General features: G+C 37.2%; 1 protein-coding gene and 1 pseudogene across 9 annotated transcripts in view; both read left to right on the top strand.

The window, feature by feature from the left end:
• The window catches only part of KIF6 (kinesin family member 6), a 395,419-nt gene that overhangs the window by 104,693 nt on the left and 278,645 nt on the right, over window positions 1-12,081 (top strand). For all 9 annotated transcript variants that reach the window (XR_001743238.2, NM_001289020.3, NM_145027.6 and 6 more), the window contains exon 6: window positions 7,398-7,527. Coding sequence is in view for 8 of the 9 variants with exons in the window: in NM_001289020.3 (NP_001275949.1) it covers window positions 7,398-7,527 (130 nt within the window). In the remaining variant the exon portion in view is untranslated. The remainder of the gene's footprint in view (window positions 1-7,397; window positions 7,528-12,081) is intronic.
• On the top strand, window positions 252-371 carry RNU1-54P (RNA, U1 small nuclear 54, pseudogene; annotated as a pseudogene).

Raw genomic sequence — 12,081 nt, 5'->3', positions numbered from 1 at the left:
CATACATTTATAATTTTATGACAAATCTGCAAAGTGTGTGTAAGAAAATTAAGGCAATATATTAACATACCACATTGTCCTTGTGATGAGGCTCTGCTTTCTTGGTTCTTTCTACTTTCATACTTTTTCACAAGAAGCATGTATTATGCTTATAGTTGGAAAAATAATAAACTGAATGTTAAAATGAAAATAAAAGTAAATAAATTCAGAACTTTTAAAATGTAGTATCATAAACTAAGAGGTGTATAAAGCTATTTACCTGGCAGAGGAAATGCTATGGTTTTCCAGAATTACAAATCCATTGCCTCTAGATGTATCTATTCTTATAGGTTTCCCAAATGTGGAAAACTTGAGTACATAATTTGTGGTACTATCACTATAAAATCTGAATAAGAAAGCAAGTATTAGTAAAAATGGGAGAAAACTTCCTTTGAAAAAAAGTTGGTAGCTCTAAAGAAAACAAATTTTAGTGCACGGCTGTATAATTACTATATGGAATTAGGCCAAACAAGACATTTCATTAAGTGGTGGGTTATTTGTAAGCCTGGAGCATCAGAAGGAACATGATATGGCTGAATGTTTTTAGAAATTAGCAAGGAATACTAGCGTAACAAGCACAGTTTTTTGATTATCTAAAATATTCACTTTTGGAAAAGCATGCAAATGATGATGTCTGGCGGGCAATAGATAAGTGTATGATAAACCATGTTTCAATACAGTAGATTTGGGCGCCATTGATGGTTGTGAAGTGATATTGTTAGGGCATGGAATAGTTTGGTTAGATTAACATAATACAGAAAGATATTCTTATCAAGTTATTAGCAATCTAAAACTTTATTATATTTGGGTATTATTTTGAAAAAAGACAATGGAAATAACATAATGTTTCGTATTTATGCTCAATCTTAGTGAAATGATTAAATTATAGTGACTAATAAATAAATGAGTGCAATCACCCCTGAGAAAGCGTTGGTTCTCCTACACATTAATTGCACCTAGTATGGTTCTATCTTTGCTGATCATAGATCATTCTTGTTTGGGCTTCACATGTCCATAGCAGTGGCCAACAGCTTCCAGTTATGTCCTGAGTCCCTTTGGTGACGTTCATTTTCATGGCATATTGAAGCATACGAGCACAGTAAGCAGCAGACACTTCTGGAGAGTGTGCAGCTGGTTCCTCATTGTCACTATGCATCCTTGAACCCTGTTGGTTACATTACATTAAATGACTTTATCCATTGGTTATTTCAATTCTGTTCCTCTTCAGACAGGGAATAAATCATTTACAGATTGCCAGCACTTCTGAAATGGCAGGCTTATGGTAGCAGGATAACCTTAGGAGGTTGGTTAAGATCTTTGGGAATTCAGACTTACAAGAGTCCAAGTCTATTAACATTATTATTTAGCAATAAAGGTAAATTAGAAATAAAAATGATAATATTTAGAGGAGATATTTGCCAGTTTGAAATAAAAGAAATTCATGTGGATAGCAAAAGAAAAATTTATCACAAGAATTACTCAGAATATTTTGCAGTGCTGAGTTTGGACTTCTTCTGATAAAGTATTTTATTTGTTAGTGTTTTCACTTTTATAAAAGTTAGAACTTGGTGTTGTAGGTTGCAGATTATATTAACTAACTTAGTTTCTAAAACGTGTTAACAGAAAAAGGAAACTCTGTAAAATATTTTAAAGAGATTTATTTTGAGCCAATAAGAATAAAATAAAAAGAGGTTTATTTTGAGCAATCTGGTTACAGATTGGTTTTGTGCATTTCAGAAAGACAGGAATTATAAAATCATAAATCAACAGATGAAAGGCATACATTGGTTCAGTTTGAAAAGGTAGACCGTCTCAAAGGAGGGACTTAGAAGTCAGAGTTGGGTTTTAGGGATTCTTTGGTTGGCAATTGGTTGAAAGAGTTAAGCTTTGTCTAATGACTTGAAGTCAGTACAAAGGAATGCTTAAGTTGAGACTGGGGACGTCTGTTATCTGTGCTGTGATGCTACATCACAGTCAGGTTGGAAAACAAGCCACATTATATTGGATTAATTTTTAAAAACCTTTTAATTAGATTTTGTGATTTGTAGGGTGTGACTTAACACTAGTCTGGCATGGCCTTGGGTCTTGTTTATAATTTGGTGTCTTATTGCCACAAAAAGTTTGTTCTGTGAGTCTTATGATCTCTGTTTTAACATTAATGCTAGTCAGTTGTGCCGAAACTCCAAAAGGGAGGGCGCATAACGAAGCGTGTCCAACCTTCTTTCCTATCATGGCTGGGAATTCAGTTTGTCAGGTTTTCTGGGGTCCCCGTGGCCAATAGGGGGTCCATTCAGTTGGATGAGGGGCTTAGGATTTTATTTTTAGTTTACGAATGTCATGTGATCAGCTATATTCTTCATTGTCAGTGAAAAGATATGATGTTAGATAAAACTACAAAGAAAAGATACGGTTTTCAAGCTACTAGAAAGAGCTTTTGAAATATCTCAGTAATGGACAAAACGTCCATTGCTTTTAGCCCATTTTGTCTAGGTCAACACTAACACAAAAATATATTGCAGGTTCATGAATCTTTCCCAAGAAACATATTTCAAGTATTTATATTTTATAACCAAAGAAACCTTTTAGAAAGTTGTAATCAATCTAAGAAAATCTACCTTTGAAATTGTTTAAATGCAGAAAGGAGGGGTCACCTTACATACTTTTCCTAAAACTTTACATCTCTGCTTTTCCCTAAACCTTCACCATAAAGAGCTTCTGAGAAAATGTGTTGGGGAGAAACAAAAAGGATATTGAGAACTGACAAACAAGTGAATGTTCTCTTTATTTAAGTGACTTGTGTTGGGACTATGTTTACAACATGTGAAACATATCTAGTTATTTAGAAGAGCCTGGTGCACCCCCACCCATTGTCATGAGGCCCACCTGCTCTTGACATTGCTCTAGGTCAGGGTGTCTAGACGGAATGGCCTCTAGTCTGTATGACCTCAAGTCACCTTTATGTCACTTATTAAAAGGCACCTCTGCCATCTATTGGAAAATTGTTGCAGTATGCTGATTTTGTTAGGAGGCTCTTCATTGCCTTATGACAGACATTTGTCGTGATAACTATACAAACCCATGATGTGAATAGCACCCCCTCAGACATGGCGCCATTGCATAGTGCATGACCTATACCATCATAGGGGACATTTGCAAATAGATAAAAAATAGAAATCACCATGGCAACACTTATATATAACATGAACGTTAGAAACCATGTTCCTTGCAGTAATGGCTGGGAAGTTCCTTTTCAGCAAGTTGATGGTACTGAAATGTGGAGGTAGGGTGTGGGGTGGAGGATTCTTTCATTGATAGCTTCCATTATTGAGAACAAGAGCCTGCCTATTGCTCTTTATATGTGCTTCAGTCAGTTAAAAAGAGTCTACAAATTCCAACTACTTAGCCAAATGGAAAAGATTCTCTGTTTACAGAGAAAACACAAAGCTTGCTTCTTCCCCATCATTAAGCAGGCTGAGTACACTTAGCAGAACTTTTCCACTTAGGTATCCAAGTTAAGGCTATCAGTGACTTTTCTTGAAATCTAAATATTTTAGAAACATTTTGTAGGGAAAGCTGTTCACAGGCCTGTTAAAAAAAATCAAATAAATAGTTTGGGGGTTTCCATCTTGGAATTAGAATGTTTATTTAAGAAACTCTAATAAAGCCCTCTTTCAAGCCCATGAAAATTACAGTCAGAACCAAGTGGTAGATTAAGGATTCAGGAAATAGCTATTGATTTGTGAGGGACAGAGGGAAAGAAAGGGCCAGGAAAGGAAGGAACTTGATGAGAAACTTTTTGTAATGGTCCTTATTTCCTTCAACTTTGAAAAACCATTTCACTGGCAGTAGAATTTAAAACACTCTCATTCTGCAACTACCTCTCCCAGGCAATAGACGTAGTGCCCAGGGCATGGCTCAGGCTGGGCTTCTATGAGCAAAGGCATGAACATAGGTGGGGCTGACGCACTGGCTGCAAGACTTAGTGCAAAAAGGATTTTCAGTGGGAGGCAGGCGGGGCAGTATGGGAAAGTCCAAAGCATCATGCCCAAGGGATTGGGCAGAAATCAGAAAAGAATCTGAAAACTGGCAAGAAGAGACCCTGATTGGTGAGGGAAGATTGTGTTTCAAAGATTCCAGAAGGATGCCAGAAGTGGACCCTTTTATAGCGTGCCCACAAATGAGCCCTAAGCAGGGGGAAGCCCATGAAAGAAAACTCTAACCTGCCTTTGTATTTACTTTTCAAAACCTCCATGGTCAAGAAATCAGAAAAAAGTGAGGAACACATGATATTAACGCACAGGGATGTGTTACAAAAGATAGCCGAGAGTTCTATGAAGAAACGCCAAGGGCATGTACAAAGTGTATTTTGTGACAAAGCTGGACAAGCACCTGGAAGTAAATGTAGAAGTGTAATAGTTCTGAAGTAGCTACATTGGAGATCAAAGGCTCTGGGTGATTTAGAAGAAAAAAGTAGCTTAGCCAAATATCACTGATGACATTTAACACTTTTTACCTTATGCATGTAATTATTCTATATAAATATAATCGCAAATCAGTGACCCATATAAGGTTTTCTAATAAATGAGCATGCTTAGAATTCCATACTTGCTTGTTCTCTGCATTTCCTGTTTCAGTGAAGTAATGGTGAGAGATATAGGTATTAGGTGTCCTTACTATTACTTACATTTTTTGATTCAGTAATTATATAAACCCTATGGATGTTTAGGGAGACCCATAATCCCCAGTTGAGCGTTAGTTATTGTGTGGTTAATGTTGTGTGGCTTAGTATACTCACCAACTGCATGGTCAGGGAGGTAGAAAAGAAACTTGCCCTGGAAAGACAGTCTTTTTAAAATTTTCAGTGACCTTGCCTATTAGTAGATATGACTCATCAGTGTCTTCAGGTGTTTTACAACCAAGAAAATTAGTAATTTTACCCTTTGGGCATGAAGTGGAACAGGATGGAAAGTAAAGATAAAAAATCAGAAACCTCCTCTCCATGTGTCTACTAGAAGGGATATTAAAAATGAAGTCAGTGGCTCTCACCCTTGGCTGCACACTAGAATCACCTGGGACTTTTACAAATTCTAATACCCAGACCATACCCTGGACCAATCAAATCAGAATCTCTTAGGATGGGACCTAAGCAGCAGTGCTGTGTATGGGGGTCTGGGGAGAGTGGGGTGGGTGGGGGTGGGTGTGTGTATCCACAGATAGTTCCTTTTGGGAACACCTGGATTAAATGAAATAAGGCAAGTGCCTGACGTACATTTAGTGCCCAATGAGTGTATGCACCACCTTTGAATTGTTTGCTGCTACCCCATCTCTCCCTTTTCCAAACTTGCACAAGAATAGTATTGTATCTGTCTTGGTCTTTCAAAGTGTATCATAGGTGACTTTGCCTTAGAGTTAGATAATTCGTTTTTGACTTCATGCTGACAAAGGCAGAACTCTCTTCTTTTCTCTCTCTCTCTTTTTATTTTATGTAGTTATTTTTTTTTTTTTAGAAAAGGCCTCGCTCCGTCTCCCAGACTGGAGGACAGTGGTACAATCATAGCTCACTGCAGCCTTGAATGCCTGGGCTCAAGCCATCCTCCCACCTCAGTGTCCAAAGTGCTGGGATTACAAGCTTGAGCCACTGCACCTAGCCCTTTTCTCACTTTTAATATACCATCTCATTATTTATTTTGTTACTTTATCTTCCAATATTACTTAACTTCTCTCACCTATAAGCCCCAGAATCTGTCGGTTTAGGAAGAATCATTACTTCCGTGTCTCTAGGGATTTAATTTAGCCAAACCTTCTTGAGCACTTCAGAAAAATCAGGGTGGAAATAAAGTTTAAGGAATAAAGGGAGTTTTTAAAAATAGAATACAACTCATCCATTTCAATTCAATTCAATTCAAATGCCTTTCTCTTTTCCAAGCATTTTTAATAAGCTCACTTAAGAGTCTTGTTGAAAAATAAATAAATTACACTTGTTTTCATTAAGAGAAAAGATCTTTTTCCATTTTTGCTGGTATTGTTGAAGGAAACAAAAAAGAGTCTAAAACTTGGCAAAGGAGGACATTATTAGTGACATATTGGTCACAGATGTGCTGGTAGAGCTACATTTTCTTCCTGCCATTAGGATTTTAAGTGCTCACAAATTACATATGAAAGTCCAGATAACTTTCTTACAAAAGGGAAAGATGAAAAAAATTATGATACTTGCAAAATCTTCATTTTTAAGATATTCTTAATAAGTTTTTATAAAAAAGAAAATTACACATGTCCATCTGCTAGTTTTTCTTTTAAAGGAAAAGTAGTGCTGGATGATGCCAACATTTACTTAGTGTCAACAATTCCAAATGTTTTAAACGAGTGAAGATACCTGAGATACTCTTTGGCAATACTTGTGAATAATAAGATTTCCTTTCCTTAACAATTCTTAAGAAAATCAAGAAGGCAAAATTTAAGAGGTAGAAAGGAACTCTCTTTAGTAACTTTATGACTCAAATCTGTAGGCCTGTGAAGCAGAGTATGAGGAGTTTAGCCAAATTTTGTTCCACTGCAGAAAGTCCTGAAAGGACTTTAGGGAGAGTATTGACAAGCCAACTCTGGAAACAGGGTTAGGATTCACCTGGGAGGAAACGGTGTTGGCATCAGGATGCCCATTAAGGTAGTTGTAATAGAGGAATGTAATTCCAGATCTAAGGCTCTGACTAAAAGGATGTAATGGAAGGAAAGGTATGTTGTAAATGAAAAAGGATCAAGAAATGGATTTGAGAGGCATTAAAATAATAATGGCAAGCTAAATCTTTATTATAAGACTTGAAAATTTTTTATTCACCTTGATGAGAAAACTCAATAGGGGAATAACTCCTAGAAGGATGACAGATGCCTCAATTTTCATCACGTTTAAGTTGGTAAGTGAACCAGTTTGAAATGTCATGTAAATTGAAAGTGATATGAAATTGAACAAAGGAATGAGTTCACTGCCTATGTAAGAAACTGAATCATGACACAGAAAAAATATGGCCTAGTTTCCTGATATGCAGATAGAAAATTATTATCTGTATTTTTAATTCAGAAAGAATATGCATTCTAAGATGATTTAGCGATCTGATTATTACAATGACAGGTGGCTTTAAATCAGGAGCTTGTAATATATTTTTCAGTCTCAAAGCTATTTGATAGTACTGTGAAGGGAATGTCAGTGTTTGATTCTAATCCAGTGCTGTCTGGTATCTTGTGTGTTATTTGCTTTTATAAGTTCAAGACGTCATACTATACAGCTTTTTAAAAGCCTGTAGGGAAGACTTCAAGTTCTTTTCATTCTCAGCAGTACCTTGTTTTCTTGCTTCCCATTTGCTTAGGAAAGTGACAATACTGGAGGATCCTGATCAGAACATTCACCTGAAAAACTTGACTCTCCATCAGGCAACCACAGAGGAAGAAGCTCTGAATTTGCTTTTTTTAGGAGACACCAACCGAATGATTGCAGAGGTAATAAACTTCTCTCTGCAAGCTGTTTCTTCAACATTATAAGATACAGTATCTGAAGCCAAGGCAGAAAAAAAAAAGATATAATAGAAGTTTAGGGCCAACAATGACCTTAAAAATAATCTCGTCCAAACCTCACATGCAGATAAAGAAACCCAGATCTAGATAAGTGAGGAGACTTTCCCAAGGTCACCCAGCTAGCTAATGAGCAGGAACAGAAATCTAGACCCCTGGATTCTCAATCCACTGCTTTTTCTACTTTAGTGTATCTACCTTTAAGTTTTTATTTTTATATTCTAAGTTGTATACAAATTGGTTTGTACATTAATGACAATGTATTACATGTCTTAATTGTAGGAAGTTTTGCATATTTTCTAAAATTTAAAAATACTCAGTCCATTTTTCCTAACCTGAAATCATCCATATGTTGGCATGTGTTTACATATCCATATGTTTTCATTTAGTTAGTGGGTTAATATGTATAAAGTACTTAGAACAATGCATTGAACATAGGGAGTATTCTATGCATTTGCAGCTATTGTTGGCATATCTGGTAACACCACTATAGTGTGTATATCTCAGTGCAATATTTGGAACATGCTTATATTTAAAATTATTCATTGTTAATCTGACATTCAAATTTAACTGAGTTCCTATTTTATCTGAGAATTCTATATAGGAGCTAGGATTGACCCAGCTTGGTCAGGGGCCCAAATTGTAACTGGTTTCTGATTGCAGATGGAGGGTTATGAAGCTCTCATCCAGCTACACTGTGGTGAAGGGAATGGGATGGTGGTGGTGGTGGTGGTGGTGTGGGAACAGTTCCCCAAATGAACAGCTTACTGTTTTCACTGGCATTTTCTTTTTAAACCACCCTTCCAGAGTTCTGTATTTTACCTTGTCTCTGATAACAAGTATTAGGTAGGCATAGTAAGCTGAAAGCATAAGTAGTCCGAGAAAAATCTCCGTCAAGGGACCTTTTATTCAGCCCCATGTCTGCCCTCTAGAATGCCCTGCCTTAGACGCAAGATAGACCAATGCAAACCAAATTCAGATACTGAAAGCATCGTATTGATATCTGTTATTATTTTGGGCCCTTAGTTTTTGTTTTTGTCACAGTTGTTTACCAGTTTTGCATCAATACTTTTCAATAGACTAGCTAACTTATATAGGTTGAGTTTATGTGCCATATATATGGATTTAAGGTCGCTTAAATTTTTACTTTTATTTGAAACAACATTCACGTAGTTTTAAATCTCAGAATATTTTGTTTTGCTTTACAAATTTGTATTTGTGCTCAGTACTCCAACATTTTGCCCATTTGATCTTTGTGATGCTCTTATTTGTCATAATAATCGAAGATTAAGGAATAAAGGTTGAGTAAGAATTTGGGCGTATGATGACAAAGGATTTAGCATGCTCCACTAAATCCTGTTCCTCCATATATAGTTTAATAAACAGCAAACGAGGAGATACAGAATAGAAATGGGTCCTGTCCACCAATGCTTATGAAAAAGAGAAAAGATAGATTCATAAACTTCTATAAGGAAAACAAGTAGAGGAGCCTGTTGCCGCCTCAGTGCTAACTGACTTTCTTTCGGAGGCGATCCATCCCTAGAGAAGTACAGGCCTCATCCTTGCCAATTACTTTCCCTCACCTTCAGTGGGTTATGGAAAGGCCCTTAACCTGTTCCACCATGATCTCCAGTAGCTTAAAAGCTTGGCCATTTGCTCTTTCAAAGTTATGCATGAACTTTAACTACATGGTTTCAGGCTGGGGTTTTGCAAAGTTTTAAGGAAATTCCTTTGTGAAACTTACCTGTCTTACCACCTTACAAAATTCCAAGTCTTTTTTAAAATTTTTCTTTTTAATTTTTTATTTTTTGAGACAGTCTCACTCTGTTGCCTAAGCTGGAGTGCCATGGTGTGTGTGATGGCTCACTGAAACCTCCATCTCCCGGGTTCAAGCCATTCTTGTGCCTCAGCCTGCCAAGTAGCTGGGACTGCAGTCATGCGCCACCACACCTGGCTAATTCTTTTGCATTTTTGGTAGAGACAGGGTTTCGCCATGTTAGCCAGGCTGGTCTGGAACTCCTGGCCTCAAGTGGCCTGACCACCTCAGCCTCCCAAATGCTGGAATTACAGGTGTGAGCCACCGCGCCCAGCCAGAATTCCAGGTCTTTTCCTATTACTTACTGATGAGTGTTTAATATTATAAATAGCTGAAACCTGAAGAAGGCTAATCCTAATAATGCTGGTTGTGCATTAATTTTTGTTTAATTTGTTTATTTTTCCTATGTAAAGCCTGTTTTATTTAAAAAACCAAGTCTAATAGGTTTTGGTTGCTTCTGTGCTTGCTTTTGTCTTTTCTTTGGTAATAATAATTACCATGTTACAATGACAGCCTGCTTAGTGTAAGTCTTTCCATTGTTGTAGACATGTTATATATATATTTCTAAATTATTTTAAAAGTATACCCAATATTTAGCACCTTAGTTTATACCTTGAAAGCAATGAAAGCAAATACATAAAAATATAAATGACAAGTAACTGTCAACCACTAGAAATTCCTTATTATTCACAGTCTTCTAAAAAAGCATGTTTTGGATTACAACCTGTCAGAATGCAATTTGTCAGCACAGAACGATCTTACCAGGATAAAAAGAACAAACGAATCATTTTTTTAAAAAACGAAGTTCCCAATTTCCCATTTACACAGAGGAATCCAGAAGTTGCCTTGGTAACCAGAAAACATTTGCAAAACAAAGTCTGAATATGTGGGACACAAAGTGGAGTGCTCTTTCCTTTCATGTTCTTTACCCATAGCCAGCATTTTAAGGAAAAGTTATTAAGAGTAGCTTCAGCCTCTTCTTATTTATTCAGAACTCTTAAGTAATTTCAGCAATCCTACCAATGTTTTGAATAAAACTTGATTATGTCCCTAGGATAAATTTTTTTTTAAGTTGAACTGCTGGGCCAAAGAGAATAAATATTATAAAAGCTGAACTGTGTGTGACCCAGCATCCAAGTCCACCAGTCGCAAGTATAACTTGATACTTTTTTTGTCTTATAGCTGAAATATTTCTATCAAGTCATCAAATCTAACTGAAGAAAGCAGCCTGCATTCAATGATCAGGCCATGCATAGTGCCATAGATAGGACCATTTGCCCCTACCTTGAAGGCATAGTCCTACCCATGGTCTAGGGCACTCTGTGCCCAAGTATGGTCCTAGGAAAACCTGTGTTAGAATACCCTGTGATAATTAAATGATGCAGTTTCTTGGATTACATTTCTGGTTGATGGATTCAGAATCTCTTCCATGTGGAGCCCAGGAATGTGCATTGTAGCATTTTAAATGTGCTCAGGCTAAATTTGGGAGCAGTCTGGGCTTTACCCTTAAGAAAGCTGGTTGAAACCCACTCCCAGAGGCAAAAAAAACCAAGCAGGTCTATATTCTGCACCCTTGTCAACACCACAACATTTGAAAATTCTGCCAATTTGGTAGACAAAAAAAGAAATCTTGTTTTAATTTGCATTTTGATTACCAAATACTTTTATATCTTCGTTGGCCATTTGCATTTCTGTTTTTGTTCATGTCTTCTGTTTGTTTCTCTCTTGAAGTGTTAGGTTAGGTCTGATTGATCCGTTGACCCCATGAGGGCTGGAACTTCATCCTATTCAGCAGTTTGTTGTACTGTGTACTGGCAGCTGTAGGAAGTGAATACTGTGTCCGAGTGGTCTAGCATATAATTTCTTATATAGGTATTACCTGGTGTAGTTATTGACCTGGATGGATTCTGGAGCAATAATATGCTGTATCTGGTATAAAACATTTGCTGTGAAACTGCTTGCAGGGGACCTTTGGTGAGAAAGGAACACTCGGTGCCGACTTTGGGAAAGTCCGGGGTCCCCTGGGTGGGCAGCTTGCTTTCTTTCCGCCTGGCTTCCTTTCCCACGTGAATGGTCAGGTGACTTCCTCCAGTCAGTGTTGGTTCTACTCTGTGGTTTCTTCACCATCTCCTGCCATCCCCGCCAAGTAGTGCTGAAGAGCATGAGCTTTGGAGACCTTCTTTTCTACCCCTGGCTCCACCCTTTGCCAAGTGTGTGTCCTTGGACAAGTCACTTAACTGGTCTAAACTGTACTTTCTAACCTGTAAAATGGGCATAATAATACCCACCTTCTAGGGATATAGAAACAATTGAATTAAATAACATTTGGACAGGCCCTGGAGTTCTTAGCTGGCAACTATTTAAAGACAAGACTTTCGTCTTGTTCATCTCTATTCTCTCAGCACCTGGCAACTAGTAGGTCATCAGTTACTGATTAACTGTTTTGTGGAATTCATGAGAGAGGAAGACCTGGTGATTTCAGGCAATAAGACCTCCAATGTCAGGCCCAGAATTGAAAGTGATTTTATGGTACACTGTGCCTATTAGTGAGTACTGAGAACATCACAGATGACTTCAACATTTTGTGTGTGTGTGTGATACTTCAAATCTTTTGAAAGAGGTTACTTTCCAAATAATTAGCCTATCAACAAAGTTTATGGGATTTA

Source organism: Homo sapiens, chromosome 6 (genome assembly GCF_000001405.40).
Source record: "Homo sapiens chromosome 6, GRCh38.p14 Primary Assembly".
NCBI lineage: Eukaryota > Metazoa > Chordata > Mammalia > Primates > Hominidae > Homo > Homo sapiens.
Note: the sequence above shows the minus strand (reverse complement) of the source record. Positions and strands in the feature narration are given on the sequence as shown.